Raw genomic sequence first — 20,874 nt, forward strand, 5'->3', positions numbered from 1 at the left:
CGACTAGACTGGCATGTCCCCTCAAGGCTGCACTCATACAGCTATGATATGAAAATGCCAGATCACCGTCTATCTGGAGAGGGAAGAAGGTTTGCCAATATAACAGCTTCTCCTCAAGTCACCCAATTTTGCCTATGTAATAAAGCTTATGCAAAAAAAACTCCTTTTTTTTTAAACAAAATGTAATTGTTTTATGATAGTCTTTTTTTTTTTTTTTAAGATGAACTTTTGCTCTTGTTGCCCAGGCTGGAGTGCAATGGCGTGATCTTGGCTCACTGCAACCTCTGCCTCCTGGGTTCAAGTGATTCTCCGGCCTCAGCCTCCTCAGTAGCTTGGATTACAGGCACCCGCCACCACGCCCGGCTAATTTTTTGTATTTTTAGTAGAGATGGGGTTTCACCATGTTGGCCAGGCTGGTCTCAAATTCCTGACCTCAGGTGATCCATCTGCCTCGGCCTCCCAAAGTGCTGGGATTACAGGCATGAGCCACCACACCCAGTCTTTTGATAGTCTTTTATTAAAACTCTTTGAAACTGTGGCTCACTAAAATTTGATATCAATGAACAATATCTCACTAGGATACCCTTTCAAAAAATATTAAGTTTAGAATTAGCAAATAGGATTTTTCTGGCTGTAAAAGGAGAACAAAAAAATTTAAAATCCTCCATTTTTTTTTGCCAGCAAAGGAAAATGAATAATTAATGCCTCATCCCATTTCTAACTTGAATCATCCCTCCCCTCCCTGCAATTAAACTGGGGTGAATTTCTTTTTTGCTAGATGAACTGTTTTCTATTTATTTGTTTATTTCTGAGACAGAGTCTTGCTCTGTCGCCCAGGCTGGAGTGCAGTGGTGCGATCTTGACTCACTGCAACCTCCACCTCCTGGGCTCAAGCAATTTTCCTGCCTCAGCCTCCCAAGTAGCTAGGACTACAGGCACCCACCACCATGCTCGCCTAATTTTGCATTTTTAGTAGAGCCGGGGTTTCACCATGTTGGCCAGGCTGGTCTCGAACTCCTGACCTCAGGTGATCCACCCGCCTCGGTCTCCCAAAGTGCTGGGATTACAGGCATGAGCCACTGCGCCAGGCCTAGATGAACGATTGAAGAAGGCTGGAGCAATGGGTTCCCACAATAGCAAGACTGCATTTTGAAGGCATGAAATTATTAAAGCTCAAAGACTGAAGTACAAAGTGAAATTCTGACTCATGATAAAGTGTATTTATGGCCTTGGCAATACATCTTAGCAATTATTCAAAAGAAAACAATTAAATTTCCTAAATGTTCTTCTGGCTGCAAACTCAGTGACTATCAGAGGGAGACATAAACTTCTGCTAACAGATAAATCTTCCTAACAGGTTGGATACACAACAGCACTGCCTCCTTACTCTTTCTATTCTGCGATCTAGGGACCTTTTCAGGTCTCTGGAATGTAATAATTTGAGTTATAGAAACTATCTGCTGGTTAAAAAAAAAAGAAACACATAATACTACAAAACACTGCCATTAAACAGGCAGTTGGGGAAAATAAACAATTCTTTCATCACCTTTAACCAAAAGGCTTAACAAGTTTTACGATTACCACTTAATTCTCAATACCACTTTCCGGGAGATATGATTCAGGCCCATGTCCTTGTTATTAAATAAGGCTTGCAACAGAATGAAATCCAACAGGTGTATGACTTTCAAGGCACGCAGCCGAGGAGCTTGGCCCTCAATGCGAGAAAGCAGCGTGGGGACAAGAGGAACATAGCTTTCAGAAACAGCAGGCTATAGGCTTAGATTTTTTTTTATTAGATTTTTGGTTTTCTGTGTGTTTGTCTGTTTTTTTGAGTTGGAGTCTCGCTCTGTTGCCCAGGCTGGAGTATGCAGTGAAGTGGCGAGATCTCAGCTCACTGCAACCTCCGCCTCCTGGGTTACAGCAATTCTCCTGCCTCAGTCTCCAAGCAGCTGGGATTACAGGTGCCCGCTACCACGTCCGGCTAATTTTTTGTATTTTTAGTAGAGATGGGGTTTCGCCATGTTGGCCAGGCTGGTCTTGAACTCCTGACCTTAGGTGATCTGCCCGCCTTGGCCTTCCAAAGTGCTGGGATTACAGATGTGAGCCACCACGTCCAGCTATTAGATCTCTGGATTGAACTTTTGTCATTTTAATTTACAAAGCCCAAAAATCATCTGTGTATCTAGTATATATGCAGAGCCAGCAAAGATAACTGGGATAGTTGATTTTCTACAGGACTTGTTGGTGATGCTATGAATCAGCAGGAAAACAGAAATTGCATGTGAAGGCAACAAAACTTAGAGACACAAGTGCTAATGTCTATCAACATATTATATTAGAAAAAAACATAATTTGGAGACCAAAATGTCTGAGAACTGTTATCCTAGGGTTAATGTATGCTTCGAATGAATTCATGTATACACACAAAAATTTAACAAAAAAGTACAATCTATGCAAGATGATAACATTTGGGGGTAAATATTTATGAGCAGAGAAAGTACACACAGATTTCTTACAACGCTGCAGCCTTTATATGAAGAAATTCTTCAATTATATACAAACTTCGGCAGACATCAATTTGGATTTTTCCAAAATCCAGAAAGGGGAAAATAGATGTGGAAAAATCTGAGGAAAATCAAAAAGAACTCAAGTACTCAGCGACGTTTAAGACCAGAACCCAGGACTACACCTCCACCCAAATTCCAGGACAAAACTGGGTTGTCATGGCATCTGGGCTTTTCATAAATGCTCACCTATCTCCCACGGTCTATTCTAGACTGAACTAACCAGATCTACAGCATGCCCTTTCTCTTCAGTGACCCAGTGACTCAGGGCAGGTGAAGGGAGCAGGACTTGTGTGACACAGTGGAGGCTGGCCTGCCTTCCTGTCTCCAAGATGTGGGCGGCAGGGATGAGCAAAGCCTCGGCCAAAGAAGTATTAATAAACCAGCTGCCTTGTCAGATAGAGGTAGTCGAAATCCAACAAGCATTTCTATCTCCACAATAGGGACTAGAAAAATTCTGAGGGCTGCATTTTGCTTCAGTTTCTTATACATTACATTATTTTTGGTGTTATCAGGGAATCCAGGTAGTTCCAGGGTTGCAGTGATGCTCTAAAACTACTAGATGATAGCTCAGTGCATCACAGAGGAAGCTTTCAGGTTCCAGCTCAGGTCAATAGAATCTGCTATTTTAGCTTAGGAATGCGTGGTGGTTCGGCCCCTTGTACAATCCAAGCAGCCATTTTGCCCTTAATATGACATTTGCAGAATGTTCTGGCCAGCTCAGATAGACACTTCTGTACCACACGTTCTCATGCAAACACACCCTCTCATTTTCTAAGAACAAACAAGAATGCAGCACTGAGCATAAAATGAACAGGGCCAGTGCGGCGGCTCACACCTGTAACCCTAGCACTTTGGGAGGGCAAGGCGGGAGGAGTATTCGAGACCAGGTGTTGGAGACCAGTCTGGGCAACCTACTGAGACCTCATCTTTTTAAAAAATAATTTTTTAAAAAAGTAAAGGTACAGAAACACTGACATGTGGAGTGCTCAGATAAAGCATCACCTTCAGTTCAATAATCTGAACTCTAGTTCTTCATTTGGGGCTGATAAACGGAAGAAGCTATCTCAGATATGTGGAGGTTTACACGATGAATTCAATGGCGAATTTGTTTTTGGAGAAGTGGATAGAAAACAGGAGTTCTACCAAATATAGTAAAGCCTTATCTATAAATAAACACAAGGAAGAAAAACATTTTTAGGATGCCTGAGTCAGCATGTTTACACGGCATGATTATTTAGTTTGGGGTTTAACCAATCCTGTGACTCAAATCCCAGGATTCTCAGAAGTTCCTGAGTACTTCCCACCCTCACCTCTTCACTAATGTTCACGAGGCAGGAAGCCATCACATGCTAAGACAGGCCATTTACTCAAAACACCCAAAACATCTGGTCATAGATGCAGACTGATGACAACTGTTTATTTAAGATGTATATTTTGTCATGTTTTCATCATAGGACTAAAGAGGAATCTCAAAACCAAAATGCCAAACTTTATGCAAAAGTCTGATACTTTGGACGAAGTATTTTGAATACTGTTTTCTTTGCTTCTTAAGATCACTGATGTTTGGTGCTAAGTATTTCACTATATTTTGGGTTGTTTTATTAAAAATTTAAATTTAGATGTATTGTTTCAATTTCTTTGGTTCAGATACATGATCTGTTTCCTGCCCTTGCTCATGCTATCAAAATAGCTCCTTGAAAGAGCACCAACATGCTTTTCCATATCCTTAGCATTTCACACACTGTATGTTCTTATCATATTCTACAAAAACACGGCAACTTCACTATGATTTAGCAAAACACAGGCTTTGTACTCTTCCTTCTCAAGGATTACTCTTAATCTTTAATGGCAGCTGCATTCTCAACTTAATACAACGTTCAACAAATAAAAAAGACAACTGCTTCTGAGCCCAATATTATACATTAGGTAAGGAACACGATACTCCTCATTACTGTTCTGTCTCAGGATATAAGTTTGCAAATTCTTCTCCTGATCTCAGTCAACATAAAAGCAGAATTACAGTTTAGAGTGGGCAATGAGAAAGGTGGAATCAAAATAGACACAGGGAAGGCCATAAAGAGTTCGCAAGCATAAATGCCTGATAGCAAAAACGATCACAGAAGATTCCAAAACCACAATCCTGCACAAAGGCCATCTCAATCTTACACAAAAAATACTTCTGCAATGCCTGCCGAGCACCTGCCTGTCCAACCTGGGACTGGTGTCACCTTTGTTACTGATCCTTGTAGTCAAAAATAATTATCTCAAAACAATTATGTAACCCTCCTCATTTTTCCTTTAAAGACCTTTGTCTTCCTCTATCTCCCAGGATACACACAGTTAACTATCGCATGCATTTTCTCATTGCAGTGCTCTATTCCTGAATAAATGCCATTTTCTTTTAGAGAGCCTCTCTCTGTTCGTTATTTAAGTTGACAGCAACAAACAGTTTAGGTTTTTGGCAACAAATCACCAATATTTACTTAAAAACAAACAAAACACTTACAACACAGGTAGGAACAACAGGTTATTTTGGAAAGAGTTTAATATATTCTCTATTGTTAAGTGCACCAGATGCTGGACTTCTGAAACAACAATTATGCTTCTGCATAATAGCTTTTTCTACATATTTCTGTTCATGTTGCTTGTTCCTCTGATTTACCTGGAATCAATGAATCTGAAAAACAAAAAGATTCTTTAAGCACCTGGTAAATTTCAGGTCCCACATTAGAAAATGAGCAATCATCAATAATATTGATGGGGGTGAAAATATGACATTGAGACTTTCGGGTAATGTGCCGAGTTTACTTTCATAGTTTACTAGGCTCAGGTTTCATGCCGAAGGATTATTTGAAAGACTCACTCACTGACATGATTTTCTGATTTTAAATTCGAACACTCTCAAAGCATAAACAGATCACCTCCAGCAACATTGTAAAAAAATACTCAAAGTTTAAAAAAAAAAAAGTAACTTGTGGCAGTACTTAGTGTTCAACAGAAAACACTCCATCTGCTAAACAATATCTCGACTGCAAAGCTTCTCTTACTGTTGGCGGATAGATAATGACATAGCCCAGTCATTATCACCGTGGCAACAGTGACCAGAAACTATCAGAGGAAAATTGCACATGGAACAGCTGGCTCTCGAGCAGGCATGCCTCAGCTTCCTCTGGAGTATGCTTTTTCTGCAAGTCTGGTGTGCTCGAGGGTACCACCAACCCTGTGCGGCTCCAAGACTACAGATTATGTAGCAAGTCCACTGGTCCTGCTCTTCCGGATTTATTCTTCCCGCCAATAGGAGCACTTACCACGTTCCAAGCATCGTCCTAGGCACTGAGGATACAGCAGTGAATAAAACTGAGTGCTGGGTAGGAAGTCAATAACCAAGCTAGTAAATAACTGTATATTGTCAAGCACTGGTAAGTACAAGGGAGAGCAGAGCAAGCAATGGGCCTGATGAGGCTTGCTTTGTCTCCTCTGCACTCCCACACTGCTTTGTATCTGCTTCTCATTTCTCACGATGGGTCCAAGCTTTGGGCACCAGGTCTCCCTGGACATTCCGCGCTGGCACTGCGCCTAGCACCCAGCGGCTGCTCAGGAAACGTTTGTCGAACGAACGAATTCACTTCTTAGTTCCCCATTCAACAAACCTTTCCTGATCCTAGGCCCAACAGGTTAAAAGGCTGGAGGGCCAACGAGGCTGGAAACTCAGAGGCGGCCGGGGGCGGTGGCTCACGCCTGTAATCCCAGCACTTTAAGAGGCCGAGGCAGGAGGATCCCTTGAAGCCAGGAGTTCGAGACCAGCCTGGGCAAAAAAGTGAGACATCGACCCCCCGCCCCCGCCGCCAATTCCGTCTCTACAAAAAGGAAGAAAAAAAAAAAAAACCCAGAGGAAATCACACAGGCAAAAGCGCTTTACAAATTTTAAAAATGAAAACTGTTCTAGAGAAATAATCGCGCGCCGGAGGCGGAAGCCCCAGAGCCTCAGCTCCCACGTGGCGGCGGAGCCAGGGAAAGTCCAGGAGCCAAGGCTACGGCCCGAGCGCTGGAACCCCGGTCAGGCTCCGGCTCCCCGCCACGACGAACTGCATGCGGCCGCGGCGCTCCGGAGGCGCCCGGGGACGCTCACCTAAGCTGGGAGAGGCGGATACCCGCCCGGCCTAGCCCCGCTACCTCCCAAGAGACCAACACGACAAGCGCGCGCCCACCGCATTGCCATGGCAATTCAACCGCCGCTGACACCGGAACCGGAAACTTCATCAGGAGGTGACCCCTTCCCGGCGTTCCGCGGAACGGGCGAGTCCCGCGCCTCTCCCAGTTGTCTCGGCGTAGTCCAGCTGGCCTCATTGGCTCACAGGAGGAAAGTCGTCTTCCCTCTTGTTTTGCCTCTCGTTGCCCTGCAAGCGTGACCCTGATGGACATCCAGTCTCTCCAATTAACTAACAAAGCGGTTGCCGACGACCAATAGTAAGGCAGTAGGATGAGGCTCCGGCATAAGGCCCACCTCCTACCTGCCGGGCGGGACGAGCAACATGATTGGTGGAATCGAGTAATTACTGATCAGTATTGTCCAATCACGGAGGGCAGTTTAGAGCCGGCCCAATGAGGGCCTCCAGGGGGCGGGTCGGACTGCCGCGGGCCGGGGAGCGCTCTGGGTGGCCAGCTGTGGGCCCGGGCCGTCGTGGGCTCCGGCTTGCGTGCGGAGATGAGCGGGTCCCTCGGCCGAGCTGCGGCGGCTCTGCTCCGCTGGGGGCGCGGCGCGGGCGGCGGTGGCCTTTGGGGTCCGGGCGTGCGGGCGGCGGGCTCGGGCGCGGGCGGCGGCGGCTCGGCGGAGCAGTTGGACGCGCTGGTGAAGAAGGACAAGGTGGTGGTCTTCCTCAAGGGGACGCCGGAGCAGCCCCAGTGCGGCTTCAGCAACGCCGTGGTGCAGATCCTGCGGCTGCACGGCGTCCGCGATTACGCGGCCTACAACGTGCTGGACGACCCGGAGCTCCGACAAGGTCAGGCCAGTGTGCCGGGCAGGCGCCCTCCGCCCCGGGCCCAGGAGCATCGCTGCACGAGGCCGAGGGGTTCCGCCGCGCCGGGCTGGGGAGCGGGGCTCCATCCGCCGGGGTCTGTCTGAAGGTTCGAGCCGGGTTAGGGCGAGGAGTACTGCCCTGGAGTAGAGTCTGGGCTGAGGGTGTAGTTGATTTCACTGGGTCTTGAGGATCTGGGGCTCTGTACTGTTGCCAACTTGAGCAGTAGGTAAAGTCCTAAAGGTTCACTTATCCTCACTTCGAGCTAATATAGGCGTTTCGGGGCGATTTGTCAATGACTGACTCGGAGGAGGGTGGCCCGCTGCCTGACTGCTCTGCACGGTTAGGAAACTCATAGTAAGGACCCACTGTGAGATAGGTACTTTCGCGGACACTTTGGGGAGGTTGGAAGCCATTGGCCTACTCGTGGGTAAGGTCTAGGGCTGTCGATGGTGGGGAGAGGGCTGAGGTTGCCCTTGAGGCTAGTGAGGTCGGAGGCTGATCTCGCTTGGCTCACGGCTCAGGGTGTCAAGCATCATCCTCTGTGGTTGCTACAAGCAAAGGGTTGGGACAGCTGTCGGCTGACCTTAGTCGGGATCTATGTTGTCGGGGAAGAGTCATGACATTTGGCTTTAGATACTCAAGCACAGGGCTGAATTTATGTGGGCCAGGGCTTGGAGAGGTTTGTGGGGAAAAGAAGCAGCCCTGGCTCCTGGGCCCTGGGCTAACTCACTGGCTCAGCCTTGGAGCCCAGGGGGCCAGGGCACCAGGGACCAGATGGATTAGGCCGGGAGAGGGAAGGCTGCAGCTAATAAGCATCTTTTCCAAGTACTCCACGTGCATTCGCCAGTCTTATCTGAGTAGGGGAGGAGGAAGAGGCCAGGCACAAGGGCCTGCTCCTTGGCCAGGATGGTCAGGGTTGGTGGAAAACTGGGAAGGCTGTACCTTTTCCTTCTAGAGAGTGACTTAGGATACCTGCATCCCAGTTAGAGACTTTCAGTGACTGAGTCCCTGCATGTCCCTAGCTAAAAAGAGGTGCCAGTTGTGTGCTAAAAATAGGTGCCAGGTTCTCTGTTACTCTAAATTCGAAATTACTAATCATAGTCATTGCTTACAATGATGAGACAGGCTGGTGTTTGGAAAAGCTTTGGGTTGACATCCTCTTCTGTGGCTAATCAGGTGTAAAACTTAAGTCACTCACCTGCATTTGAGGATAATGAGACAATTTGGCAAAGTTTGTGTTAGGAAGCCAAAGTAAAAATTATAGAAAGTGTGTATTATTTTACCTGGCACAGAAAGCACCCGGTAAATGGTAGCTGGCTTCGTATTAGCACTTGATGGTTTTCAAATGTATTTTTTCCCAGATTATCTAGTCCTTAAAGACTCTTGGGGATAACTGATCCTCCATTTGCTGTAGGTGATAGTGGTGGTGGGTGGGACCTAGAAAGCATGTTGAGTTGAGGAGTCGAGAGGGCAGGTTCAAATTACCACGTATATGTAATATTACCATGTGTTATTCTCATGACCCTTTTGTCTTCCTTGTCAACTAGTATGCCACCAGTTACTGGGCTCAGTTTTATCATGTGCAAGGCAAGGGACCTGCAGTCTTCCTTCGAAGACAGCTTCTCTGCTTAAAAGAGGAGTAACTATTTTGCAGTCTTTTGACAGAGACCTTGCAGGGAGTCCCCTGCAAATTGCCAATATGGCACTAGTAAAAAAGTGGTGTTGTTATCTCGCTTAGTATCATGTTTCGAGGGTCTTTGGTTTGTGAATTTATTTTCTCTTGTTTAATATAACTGGAAATGAGATATGCTGGAATATAGCTAGTAAACGGAAAATAGGAGCAAAAATACGAATATGTACTGATAACATTTTATTTTTCTGTCTTTTATCCACGTCTGGTGTCTGGTTTCTGAGCTTACTTTCTTAAGTTTTCAAACAGCAGCGACAGGAATTTAACCCTTACATTCCTTGACCACTGAGTTTCATCAGATTGCTATTTTGGTTAATAAACGCGTTGCATATATATTGAATATAACATACCTCTTTTATTGATTAGAAAAGTAAAGATTAGTAAGTATTAACATTTGGACTGGGCAGGGTGGTAAAAGCACGTTCCCCAAATGGGGATTAGTTCAGCCAGGTTATTAAGACTCTTCCCCTCTTCCCTATACAGCTTTATTTACCAAGAGCAACTAACGGGCTGTCCGATGCTTGCTTTTGCCAGCCGAAACTATGTTTGTACACCAGATCCAAGGTCATTTCTAGTAATAGGAACGGAGCTCTTGCAAAACTGGCCTTTTGTTGGTTCTTATGCCAAGGAGACCTGAACTTTACAAAGTGCCTAAACCGGAGGAAAACATTCTTTCCTAGTTTTGAGTACTGGGTTCCCAGGAGTGTGATACAGACACATCTTGAGACTGTGACCCAAGGAACAAAGGTGACTATGAGGCAGCATTGTGTTCTGGCCTTCTCAAGACCTTCTTGTCCTTCTCTTTTTATCTGGAGTGCACACAGAAGACAGTCACAAAGGGATCAGGTCCCAGTAGACTGACATCATCATTTCCTAATCCTGGTCTTAATAAAGGAACTTATGCTCATGGAAGCAATGTAGAAAACACTGAAAAGTTTAAAGAAGGAAAATCACCTGTAATTTATGGAAACTATTGTATTAACATTTAGATCTAGTTCCTAACAGTTTTTTTTTTTTTAACACATTGAGACCATGCTTGTCTATACATAGTATTTTGCCCTCCAGAGACGAGGGAATATGTCTTATGCCACTGCCTGTGGTGCTGTGTGTACCGCTTATGCAAAGCAAGCTTTCAGTGAGCATTTTAATAAATAAATAAATACTGCTTTTATTTATCATTATATTGCAAACTCTGCGGCCTTAAAGGCATTATAAACATTTGCTGCCGATTTAGATCATCATTGTAGTCCTTGCATCTGGAACAGTGACAGAATAGGGACTCAAATGATTTGTTGAATAAATAACCATATCCTGTTGTTGAATGTTTATTAAGCATTTGAAAATACGCTCCACCTTTTCAGTATCAGGGAATTGAAGACAGTAGTGAAACATGTCATGCTGGTGAACCTTAAAAGTTGGATAACAAGTTGTGTGTATGTGCTTGTGTGGTGCACATGTATGCTGCAGATGGGAGTATAAAATGGTACCAACACTTTGGAGGAGTAACTATCAGTACCCAGTCAAGCTATGGGTGAACAGAGCCTAAGACCCAGCTGCGTGACTCCTAGGTATATATTCTAGAGAGGGGGATCTGCAAACTTACCCTAGTAAAGGGCCAGAGACTAAGTACGTCAGGCTTTGTGGGCTGTGTGGTTTTTGTTGCATCTATTCAACTCTGCTGTTATATAGCCTGAAGTCAGTCATGGGCAATATGTAGATGAATGAGCAGGCTGAGTTTCAATAAAACTTTATTTATGAAAATACAGCTTTAATTACGAAGTAGACTGGATTTGGCCTGAAGACCATAGTTTATCTGTCCCTGGCCTAGAGACTGACTTCTGCATGTGTGTGTTAGGACATGGGTCCCCAACCCCCAGGCCAGGGATCGAGGACTTACAGCAGGAGGTAAGCGGTGGGTAAGTGAGCTTTACCGCCTGAGCTCCGCCTCCTGCCACATCAGTGACGACATTAGGTTCTCATAGGAGCACAAACTCTATTGTGAACTGCACATGTGAGGAATCTAGGTTGTGCGTTCCTTACGAGAATGTAACTAATGCCTGATGATGTGAGGTGGAACCGTTTCATCCCGAAGCTATCCCCACCCTTCCCTGGTCCGTGGAAAAATTGTCTTCCACAAAACCAGTCCCTGGTGCCAAAAAGGTTGGGGACCTCTGTGTTAGGATACCTGTGTTGGCGCGTTCATTGCAGCATGGCTTGCAATAATGAAAAACTGACAGGAAGGGATCTTGGTCTATTAGCAGCAGACCAGATAAATAAACTTTAGTCACATGATGGAAAGCTAAACTGTAGTTAAAATGAACTAGATCTAGATGTATTTAACATGGCTGAATCTCAAAAATACAATATTTAGTCAAAAAGCAAGTTGCAAACACGTAATTATGGCATAATACCATTTGTATATGTAAATGTTAAAGGCATAAAACAGTCCCATATATTGCAGATATGTGTGCAGTGCACTTGTAGCTCCTGGGCAGGAGTGAGATGGCAGCTAGAGGGTAGAGGCCACCTCTGGTGAGGGACTCAGGTAGCATGTGGTTAAGAGTCTGGGCTTTTGTACTCCTGGAAGCCTGGATATAAATCCTGGTTTCACTGCGCTGTCACTGTGAGTTTCGGTAAGTTACTTAACCCTTCTGAGCCTTAGTTTCTTCATCTTATGTAAAGTAGGGATAATTGTACCTGCCTTGTCAGATTTTTGTAAAGATTAAATAAGATTATTTTTGTAAAACGCTTAAAGAGTATGAAACTCAGTAATCCTTAACTCAATAAATGGTATATATATATATATTTTTTTTTTTTTGAGAGAGTGTTACTCTGCTGCCTAGGCTGAAGTGCAGGGGGCAATCTCGGCTCACTGCCACCCCTGCCTCCCGGGTTCAAGCGATTCTCCTGCCTCAGCCTCCCAAGGAGCTGGGATTGCAGGCACCTGGCACCATGCCTGGCTAATTTTTTTTATTTTTAGTAGGGACAGGGTTTCACCATGTTGGCCAGGCTGGTCTTGAACTCCTGACCTCAGGTGATGCACCAGCCTTGGCCTCCCAAAGTGCTGGGATTACAGGTGTGAGCCACCGCACCTGGCCTGAATGGCGTTTTCATTACTTTAGGGTATACTTAATCACTTTTTCCTGCTTTATTTTCCTATGCTTTTTCTGTTGCCTTTCTCAGAAAAGCATTACTGTGAAGGGTGGGTGGTGGAGCATGTTGGTATGGAGAGAATGTCCACACTGTACCTGGTACTATGCTGGGAGCTCAATTCATTTCATTCCTTAGATATCATGGAATCTTCATAATATGTGAGGCGTAGAGTATATTCCCATTTTACAGATGAGGAAACTGAGGCTAAAAGATTAACAGATTTGTCTGAGGCTACATTTACAGGCTAGCAAACCAGATCTACTGATCCTTAAGCCTGTGCCTTGCCCACTCTGCCCCGTGCCTTGCTTTTCCTCTAGTGAGGGTCTACTGATTTCCGTGCTTTCAGCTCAGATCATCTTATCTCGACTTAACGCCATTCTCTAAATTAGAGAATATGAAGAAATTGTGACTCTCAGAGGTGGTGTAACTTGCCCAAGATCACAGAGTCTAGTAGGTAAGAGACAGAGTTGGAACTCATATCAGATTCTGAAGCTACTGTAGTGAGGTTCTACCAGGAAAAATAAAAAGAAAGAAAACTATGATTATGCTGCTCTCGTAATTTAGTGTCCAAATCAGGAGTAATGCCCAGTGTTCTGAATGTGATGAATTTTGAAAAATACCTTTTGAAAGTTCTGGAAGGGAATTTTAAAGTATCATTTCTGTACTCTTTCTGGGTTGATACTTTGGAATATGAATTTGTTTGTATGGGTTTTTTTGGTGGAGCATTAGATGCGTGTAAACTGACTTTGTAAGATAGCCTCCTAACTCCCAGTTCCTAGTGTTACTCTGCCATATAACTTTGCAGTCAGCATTTTCTGCCCCAGATGGAATCACCACCGTCTATCACATATGAAATAATGATTATCATTAAAATTCATTCTTGGATGTGATTTTCTAATTTTCAGGAGTAGCTCTCTGATTCTGAGTTAATTTCAAGTGATATTTGTAAGAACTACCACTGCATATTGCAGTTTTTGAAAACTAAAGTGTGAGAGAGATTAACCATGTGTAAACAGTTACTTGTGGATCCGCAGGATTCATTTTAATATTCAACTTATGAAGAGTAGTCTTTTATTATTATTAGGAGTTTCTCACTTCACTCTATAGGAAGCAATTGGGTATTTCCTTAAATATTTAAACTGGTAATCAACTTTCTTAAAAATGGAAAAGAGCATAGTCATTAAGAAGGGTGCCAACGTTTGGCCTTGATGCCAGCTGCCTATTACACCTATTCATCTAAAAATTAAAGAAGCAGCTAAGTTTAATTTTGATAAACCGTCAGCTGCTGTCAAGAACAGGCAGGTGGCTCATGAGAAGTTAGTATCACTTGCATGTGGCTGTGTGTGTTGGGTGTTGAGAATGTCTGAAAGCCTGCTTGTTTTGATAATTTTGGTGGTAAGGATTCTGGGGGTCTCCCCTTCTCTCGTAGTCAGGACATATGATCAACAGCAACATAAAGTTTAATCAATGAGGCAAGCCCAATGCTTCGATTGAGTGTGATACTATAAAAGTGATTGATGAAAAGCAATTTTACTTTAAAAACATGTATTTTTTGGGTAAAACATGTAGTTTTGGGTAGTTCTCAGGCAGCAAACATTTCCATTTTTGGTGTGTTTCAGAAATTATAGACATCCATCAAAATAAATCAGTAAAAATTGATTATCATGGAAAGCTTCACACAATATATTATTCATTGAAACAAAACAGGTCGTTCATGCACATAAATGATTCATTTGTATAAAAGGTATTTAAGAAAGTTGAAGATAATGAAAAGAAGCTCACGTTTACTTTAAATATTTCTTAATTCTCGCACCCAGCTCTCAGTCATCATAAAGGTAAAAGTTTTGTAATCGGCATCATTGTAAAAAGTGAGTTTTGATAGACTTTGTATTTGAGGACAGAGTTTGAAGAAAGTAAAAAAACACACAAATTATGCTAGTTGTTTTTGTTGATGGAGCATCAAACATCACCATGATGAACAACTTGAATTCATCAGGGTATTCTACTATGTCTAGATATTTGGCATTATAAAGACATTTTGATGATTAATGGAATTTACCCTTTATTGGCAGCTGCCAAAGAGCTAGCTGTTGTTTCTTTACTAGCACCCAGAGTGGCTGAGAGGTGTCCTTTTGGAGGCCTAGAGCAATGTAACCCTTTCTTAATATGTGAAGTCTGGAGAAGGAAGATAAAGCCCTTGGTTCAGGGGCTTTCTTTAGGGCTGTCATTTAGAGCAAAGTCAGTTTTTTTAATAAGGCAATAACTTTTAAGAAAAAAATAAATAGTATATTGGGACTTGTGATATAACTGAAATCAGTAATTTTATTTGGAAAATGTTTGATAATAAATTATAGGGTATCAAGAGCAAGTTTTTGTATTTTTAGTTTGTTTACATAAAAATCGATTTGTGTAAACTGTACTGGACTTGAACAATCTGTTGACTTTTCCGTTTTGTTTATCCATATGCTCATTTTGGCCATTTAAAAATATCTATCTATGTAAATATAAAAGTGTCACATAAGTGTTAGTTATTATATGCCATGCTTTGACCATCTTCGTTTTTAACATGACCAATACAGGCTTTTTAATGGCCGACTATGTTTTTGAAAGCACAGTCATCTCAACATACAAGTAGAAAAGGAAGTAGACTGATGAAGAGGAATGTTAAGAGTAATCTTTTATGTCTTAAGATTGAAGCCACATTTCTTTCTTACCATTTTGTTACAGTCATCATCCTTGTGGCTCAGAATTGAACAGAGTAGTTGCACAGCTGCGCTGTCACAGAGTGTCCCTCATCTCATGTGTGTCCTCAGAGCCATTTGCACACAGGACTGATCACATGCATGCTGGTTGGTTTCTTGGCTGCTGTGAGCGCTTAAGAGCAGAGCGGGTCTCACTCCCCCACCCCTCAGCCCTGGACAGGGACCTTGCTGAGCTCTGGGCCTTCATTAGACTCACCAGTCACTTCGGGTTCTGCACAGAGCCTCATCATCCACTCCACAGAGAGCCCATCACAGTGGCTGGATAGATGGGAACTGACAACCCATAGCTGTGGGACAGGGATTTTTCCCTGGGTAAAAGTAATTGTTAAAAATTAAAAAAAAAAAAAACTCAACAACTCATCATCTCGAGGAGAAGTGACTGACGGCCTGCACCAACTTAGACAGTCACAGTCATGAAAAGTGCACAGGTGGGATTGCCCGAGTTGGCCATGAATTACCGTGATGGATCCATTTGGAAATGAAGTTGGTTGTGACATTTCTTCAAGTTTTGTTTCGCTTGAAGCTTGACTGGTAGATGGAGAATTTTGGCCTTATGTATCTTATGTGACTTGCATTACCCAGTCCAGTCCTCTGCCATTAATCTAAGGTCCGCAATGTATCAGGTATTTTACTGAGAATCTTGCTTACCTAATTCTCACAAAAAAAAAAACCTTGGGAGATGAGGGTGGAAACAGGATGAGAGGTCAGGTGACTTGTCTGAGGGCTGACGGTTTGTAATTGGAAGAGTCAGGGCCTAACCACTGGTCTCTTTGACACAAAAACTCATGCTCTTAGTGGCAAGCACAGTGTTCTCAAGATTGGGGGAAGCCAGGGAGGGACAGTGGGTTGTCTGCTACTAGTGGGTCAAAATTACATATTTAGTCATGAATGGTTCAGCTTTTACCATTTAAATAACAAATAAATGTTCTTTCTCCATAGGCATTAAAGACTATTCCAACTGGCCCACCATCCCGCAAGTGTACCTCAATGGCGAGTTTGTAGGGGGCTGTGACATTCTTCTGCAGATGCACCAGAATGGGGACTTGGTGGAAGAACTGAAAAAGCTGGGGATCCACTCCGCCCTTTTAGATGAAAAGAAAGACCAAGACTCCAAGTGAGGGCGGCCAAGTCCTCGCTGAGCAGAGAGGGAGCCGTTCATGTCAGAGACTCACTGCCAGAAAAGCCTTACCCATTTTGGTTTTCACTATTGAGACCGCAACTGCTTGCACTGATCATTTTGGTTCGTGAGCAGTTGGTGATTTTAGTTGGTCTGGTGTTCGGGCTAAGAATATTTTATTGTGGACTTAATTACAACCACTGCACTGTAATGATTCAATGCTGTATTATGATATTGCTGTAAACAAAATTCATTCTTATATTGTCACTTATTCTTTGCCTGATTCAGAAGTTAAATAGGAGCTTTGGAATCATTATTCATGACCCCTCTGCAAATGTGTCAGTCTCCAAAGAGAGTATCTCCCCCCAAATTTTGTGTAGCTTCTTTTGTTATGGAAAATGGTGAACAAAAAAAGAAACTGTGATAACTGGGGCGTTGTTTTTTAAAATAAACTCCAGCACAGGGATGCTGTGCATGCCTGAGTTGATTCCGAAGTGCATATGTCTGTAAGGATTTGGAGTGCCTGCAGTGTTTTATGTGTGGGAAGTAAGGGTGAGTCTCATATTCTTCTATTAAATTTGCCACAAGAATTGCCGTCGAGCCCTGGTCTACTTTCTGGGGGAAGCAGCTGTTTGGATGGTGAGTCAACTGTGCAGCTGGAGGCGTGGGTGGGCTGGAGGGAGCAGAGGTGGGTGAGGCCGGAGGAGGCGGCCCCACCTGCCTATCTCTGGAGCCCTGTGCTTGGCACACTGCTACAGTTAGATAGGGAGACATCGTCAACAGTCCACCGAGCTAGGGGATTTAATGAGTATTTTACTTCTTAAAAAGTGGGGACTTTCTAAAAGAGGACATAATTTGGAATTGTGGCAGAGATTCTCCCAGTGTCTGGTGTCTTTATAAGACCTTTCCATGAGTTCTGCATCCCGAGACTGGGGCCTGGTAGAGCCTGGGGCTGTGCAGAGGCCCATGGGAAGGAAGCCCGCCTGGTGTGGCATGGAGGCTTTGTTCATCTCCAGGGACTTAAAGAGAGCGCTTGTCTAGAAACATATCTTTACGGTGGCAGAGGTGGGAAGAAGGATGCATTTTCTCATAATAAGGGCAAAAAGGACAGAACGGCTCTTTTCCCCAGAGCTATTCTAGAGGCTTGTTCTTCGTTGCTTATTTAATCTCCTTGAGTTCCTCTCGAGAATACTCTAAAAACAGACTTCCTCCATGAGGTCAGGCTAGAACTGATGGAGTTGCCCCTGCTCCCCTTCCCCAGAGGTTTTGGAAGGGGAAGGAAAGCTGTAGCCCCACGCCCCCACCCTGGGGACTGCCCCATCAGATTAGAGCACTGCTCCTCAGCAGTCACCCACCTCACCGTGTTAGAGAAAAGAAAAATAGATTATTCTCAGAAAAAGGTTATTACATTAATTGTCTGCTACATCCCATGATACCTTTATGTCTTCTGTAAGCTAAGGGACCTTAGGATCTAAGAGGAGGTTAAAACACATCCATTTGAGCCATTTGGTTTAGAAATGAGGGAAGCAGGAGCACTAGAAGGATCTACCTTGCCCTGTAGACAGAGTCACCATGAATAAGTCACTTCATACTGCCTCTGGATGGATACAGGCCGTGGACCAGAGGCCGGGTCTGCAAAATTGTCCCTTGCCATCACATCTAGTGAGGAGTGTGATACGTTTTCACAATTTTGCTTCTTTTGGCTTTTCCTTGAATCTGCCTGTGTGCCCTTAGGTTTCATCTGAAAAGCGAAATGATGAGAAACTTATTGATGGGAAGCATCAATGTAAGAAACCTCTCTAGAATATGATTGGAGCTAGGAAAAGGCTGCCAAGTGAATAATTTGACTCATGCTTATGAGTCATAGTGAGATCATATCAAAGTCACTAGGGAACTTATAAGTTGAAGGAATCACTGGGCTCTACGAGGAATGTAAGTCTTCTTTCTCAGAGTTAATTAATAATTTTTTTCTATATGCCTAACAAATCTCTACCAAGTAGAAAATTGAAGATGCTATCTAGTGTAAGTCTGAATAATTTTGATGGTCTGCATAATTAGAATTCACTGTGAGAATTAGAGCAGAGACACAGAGGTTCCTTGTGCAAACAGCAGTATCACGCACCTATTTAAAATGCAAGGACTGCTTCTCGGGTTTAAATGCACCTATTTAAAATACATTAGGCCTGTATTAGTGTGATTATATTGGATATTTGTCATAGCTTCAGGGTCTGTGTGATTAGACCCTTAGAAATCAAGTTATTTTAGAAGATTAAACATTTTATGATTTCAGGTAGTTTTTATTTTTTTCATGGATTGGTAGTTACATAAATGGCATTCTGCTTCATTAAGCTATGAGTTTTAGAGATATCTTAGGACAGAAGATAACTTTTAAGTTGGGTTTCGTTTTGTTGGCAGTGTTTAATTCACTTGTGTAGAATCTGGGAACCGAAGCTTTCCTTTAACTTTTCAAGCCATAGCAGCCAGCTTAAGAGAGAATTCTTGTTACATTTGTTAGGTTTACTTAGATATTTTGACATAAATTATATTTTGAGAAATCAGGTCCCTTGTTTGTGACAGGAGGGACTGTGCTAAGGGTAGAGGAATGACTTGTGTCGGCAAGGTTTCATTGGTGCAGATTGATTGATTGATTGATTGATTGATTGATTGAAAAAGGGTCTTGCTCTGTTGCCCATGCTGGCGTGCAGTGGCCTGATTATGGCTCACTGCAGCCTTGACCTCCTGGGCTTAAGCAATCCTTCCCACTCAGCCTCCTGAATAGCTGAGACTTCAGATGTGCACCACAACACCTGGCTAATTTTTTTATTTTTTAGAGACAGGGTCTCTGTGTTGCCCAAGCTGGTCTTGAACTCCTGGCTCAAGCGATCCTCCCACTCTGGCCTCCCAAAGTGTTAAGATTACAGGCATGAGCCACTGCGCCCAGCAGAAACAAATTTAAATGTGAGGTGAGAAAGCTTTCATGTGGGTTCCTGAGAGCCACCGACAGGAAAAGATATATATTAGGGGATGGCCACACAAAACACTGATTGTTTTAAAAATTTAACATTCCACTTAAGAATTGTTTAGTAAATCTAAAAAGCAGCTTTAAATTGTGCCTAAGAACCATATAATAGCTACTATGAAGCAGAGCAGAGGAATGGTGAAGAGAAAAGCCATTTTAAGGTCCAGGGGCTTACAGAGACGCATGGGGTGACCAGGTGGACTCTTGTAAAGCCACATTCCTGTCTTATTTCCTGAGAGTAGCATCACTTTAGGTCTGAAAGCTATGTGGGCATTTTGCGTGAGGGGAGCATTGTTTTCTTGGCGGTTGCCCTGGGAGCCCAGTGCAGGTGAGCTGAGGGCAGAGTCTCCCTTAGGGCAGAGATGCCACTGAAGGTGCACCTCACCTCAAAGATCCCTATCCTGGATTCAGTCAGAATAGCCATGTTATTCTCCTCCTTGTGAACCTCCCGGGGCACCCGGTTGTGTCACAGTGAAGTCTCTCCTATCCCAGAAAGCCTTCCCTGACCCCAGACGGAACAGACCCTTTAATCCACTCTACAGCCCTGTTCTTTGTTCATCACTCCAGGACCTAACTGCCTGTTACTTGGCTTTATTCAGATCCCCTCTGGCCAGCATACAGAGTGCCCCAAAAAATACATTTAGAAAAGAGTGAAGAATTTCCTTTCTTCATTCCTTTTGGATTAGTCACAAGAAATGTTAGGCTATTACAGGTTACAGCCTCGCAACACCGCAGTAGCTAAGAGCCGGGACTCAAGTCACCCTCCCTGGGTTTGCATCCCAGCACTTGCTGGGTGTGCTACTGACCTCAGACGACTTAGTAACCTCCCTTCCTGCTTAAGTGGGCAAATAGCAGATGCCACCGACCTCAGGCGTGTTACAAGCTTAGATGACAGCACCCTGTCGAGACCATGGCTCATAATGAGCTCTCACTGTAAGTTGACCTTGACAGTTAATGTTGGATTACACCTGGACTTGGTACCGCGCTGTGGTATCCACCACCGTTCGGAGGGTTTAAGGGAGCAGAGAAGGACAGGCTGATGAACACAACATCGTTCATGTTTGGTTGCCCCTGGAACATAGAGACTCATTGTTGAAGGCAAAGGACAGATCTAATCCTTGTGATGATCTATCAGTGGACTGCCCAGCAGCCCTAGGGGACGGCAGGGCCTTCAGCCAGAAAGAATTCCCTGTAAAGTATCTTTCCTACGATTATAGTTTGACTTACTGCCACCGAGTTTTATTTTTAAAAATACTGCTTCTATTTCATACCAAAGTGGAGAGTCTTTTCTGAACCGATATGTTAGACAGTTATTGTGTTGAGTTATGCTTCAAAGAATGCAGTTTAACCTTGAGCTAATTCTAATTTAGCAGTAGCAAGGATTGTGACACTGGGTTCTACTGTACCTCATTAGCCATTTTCACAGGGATTCGTTTTGCCAGAAAAAGGAGGTAGAAATGTTCGCCGGTTCCTAGGAAATTTGGTGAGCAAATATGGAAAGTATTTCCAGATTATTGATGTGTCTTCACTAGTCCTGAGCAAGCTATC

The 20,874-nt window shown here is 43.7% G+C and overlaps 1 protein-coding gene, 1 long non-coding RNA gene and 1 other non-coding gene across 4 annotated transcripts, besides 8 other annotated features; 1 reads left to right on the top strand and 2 right to left on the bottom strand.

Moving 5' to 3' along the window:
- On the bottom strand, positions 5,095 to 7,055 carry SNHG10 (small nucleolar RNA host gene 10). Of its 2 annotated transcripts, NR_001459.2 has the most exons (2): positions 5,876 to 7,055; positions 5,095 to 5,244 (listed from the first exon to the last, which is right to left on the bottom strand). It is a non-coding gene; the product is annotated as a small nucleolar RNA host gene 10 (long non-coding RNA). The 2 variants fall into 2 exon arrangements; NR_003138.3 differs by having other exon boundaries at positions 5,095 to 7,055.
- SCARNA13 (small Cajal body-specific RNA 13) lies at positions 5,538 to 5,812 on the bottom strand. The gene has a single exon (NR_003002.1).
- Positions 5,663 to 6,452: an enhancer, noted in NCBI's record as "H3K27ac hESC enhancer chr14:95999817-96000606 (GRCh37/hg19 assembly coordinates)". NCBI's record gives its function as "activates a minimal SCP1, AML or CMV promoter by ChIP-STARR-seq in primed H9 embryonic stem cells {active_cell/tissue: H9 hESC(primed)}" and the evidence as "EXISTENCE:reporter gene assay evidence [ECO:0000049][PMID:30033119]".
- Positions 6,453 to 7,242: an enhancer, noted in NCBI's record as "H3K27ac hESC enhancer chr14:96000607-96001396 (GRCh37/hg19 assembly coordinates)". NCBI's record gives its function as "activates a minimal SCP1, AML or CMV promoter by ChIP-STARR-seq in primed H9 embryonic stem cells {active_cell/tissue: H9 hESC(primed)}" and the evidence as "EXISTENCE:reporter gene assay evidence [ECO:0000049][PMID:30033119]".
- Positions 6,453 to 7,395: a biological region, named in NCBI's record as "H3K27ac hESC enhancer GRCh37_chr14:96000607-96001396".
- Positions 6,506 to 6,965: an enhancer, noted in NCBI's record as "active region_8964". NCBI's record gives its function as "activates an Ori minimal core promoter by ATAC-STARR-seq in GM12878 lymphoblastoid cells {active_cell/tissue: GM12878}" and the evidence as "EXISTENCE:reporter gene assay evidence [ECO:0000049][PMID:35858748]".
- Positions 7,106 to 7,395: a silencer, noted in NCBI's record as "silent region_6048". NCBI's record gives its function as "represses an Ori minimal core promoter by ATAC-STARR-seq in GM12878 lymphoblastoid cells {active_cell/tissue: GM12878}" and the evidence as "EXISTENCE:reporter gene assay evidence [ECO:0000049][PMID:35858748]".
- Positions 7,233 to 16,897, top strand: GLRX5 (glutaredoxin 5). Its single transcript, NM_016417.3, has 2 exons — positions 7,233 to 7,567; positions 16,130 to 16,897. The coding sequence occupies exons 1-2, from the start codon at positions 7,273 to 7,275 to the stop codon at positions 16,306 to 16,308; spliced, it is 474 nt and encodes a 157-aa protein (NP_057501.2). The 5' UTR covers positions 7,233 to 7,272; the 3' UTR covers positions 16,309 to 16,897.
- Positions 7,606 to 7,665: a silencer, noted in NCBI's record as "silent region_6049". NCBI's record gives its function as "represses an Ori minimal core promoter by ATAC-STARR-seq in GM12878 lymphoblastoid cells {active_cell/tissue: GM12878}" and the evidence as "EXISTENCE:reporter gene assay evidence [ECO:0000049][PMID:35858748]".
- Positions 18,002 to 18,292: a transcriptional cis regulatory region, noted in NCBI's record as "candidate enhancer chr14.2077 targeted for multiplex CRISPR interference". NCBI's record gives its function as "positively regulates GLRX5 gene expression with high confidence in K562 cells {active_cell/tissue: K562}" and the evidence as "EXISTENCE:mutant phenotype evidence [ECO:0000015][PMID:30612741]".
- Positions 19,966 to 20,841: an enhancer, noted in NCBI's record as "NANOG-H3K27ac hESC enhancer chr14:96014120-96014995 (GRCh37/hg19 assembly coordinates)". NCBI's record gives its function as "activates a minimal SCP1, AML or CMV promoter by ChIP-STARR-seq in naive H9 embryonic stem cells {active_cell/tissue: H9 hESC(naive)}" and the evidence as "EXISTENCE:reporter gene assay evidence [ECO:0000049][PMID:30033119]".

Source organism: Homo sapiens, chromosome 14 (genome assembly GCF_000001405.40).
Source record: "Homo sapiens chromosome 14, GRCh38.p14 Primary Assembly".
Lineage (NCBI taxonomy): Eukaryota > Metazoa > Chordata > Mammalia > Primates > Hominidae > Homo > Homo sapiens.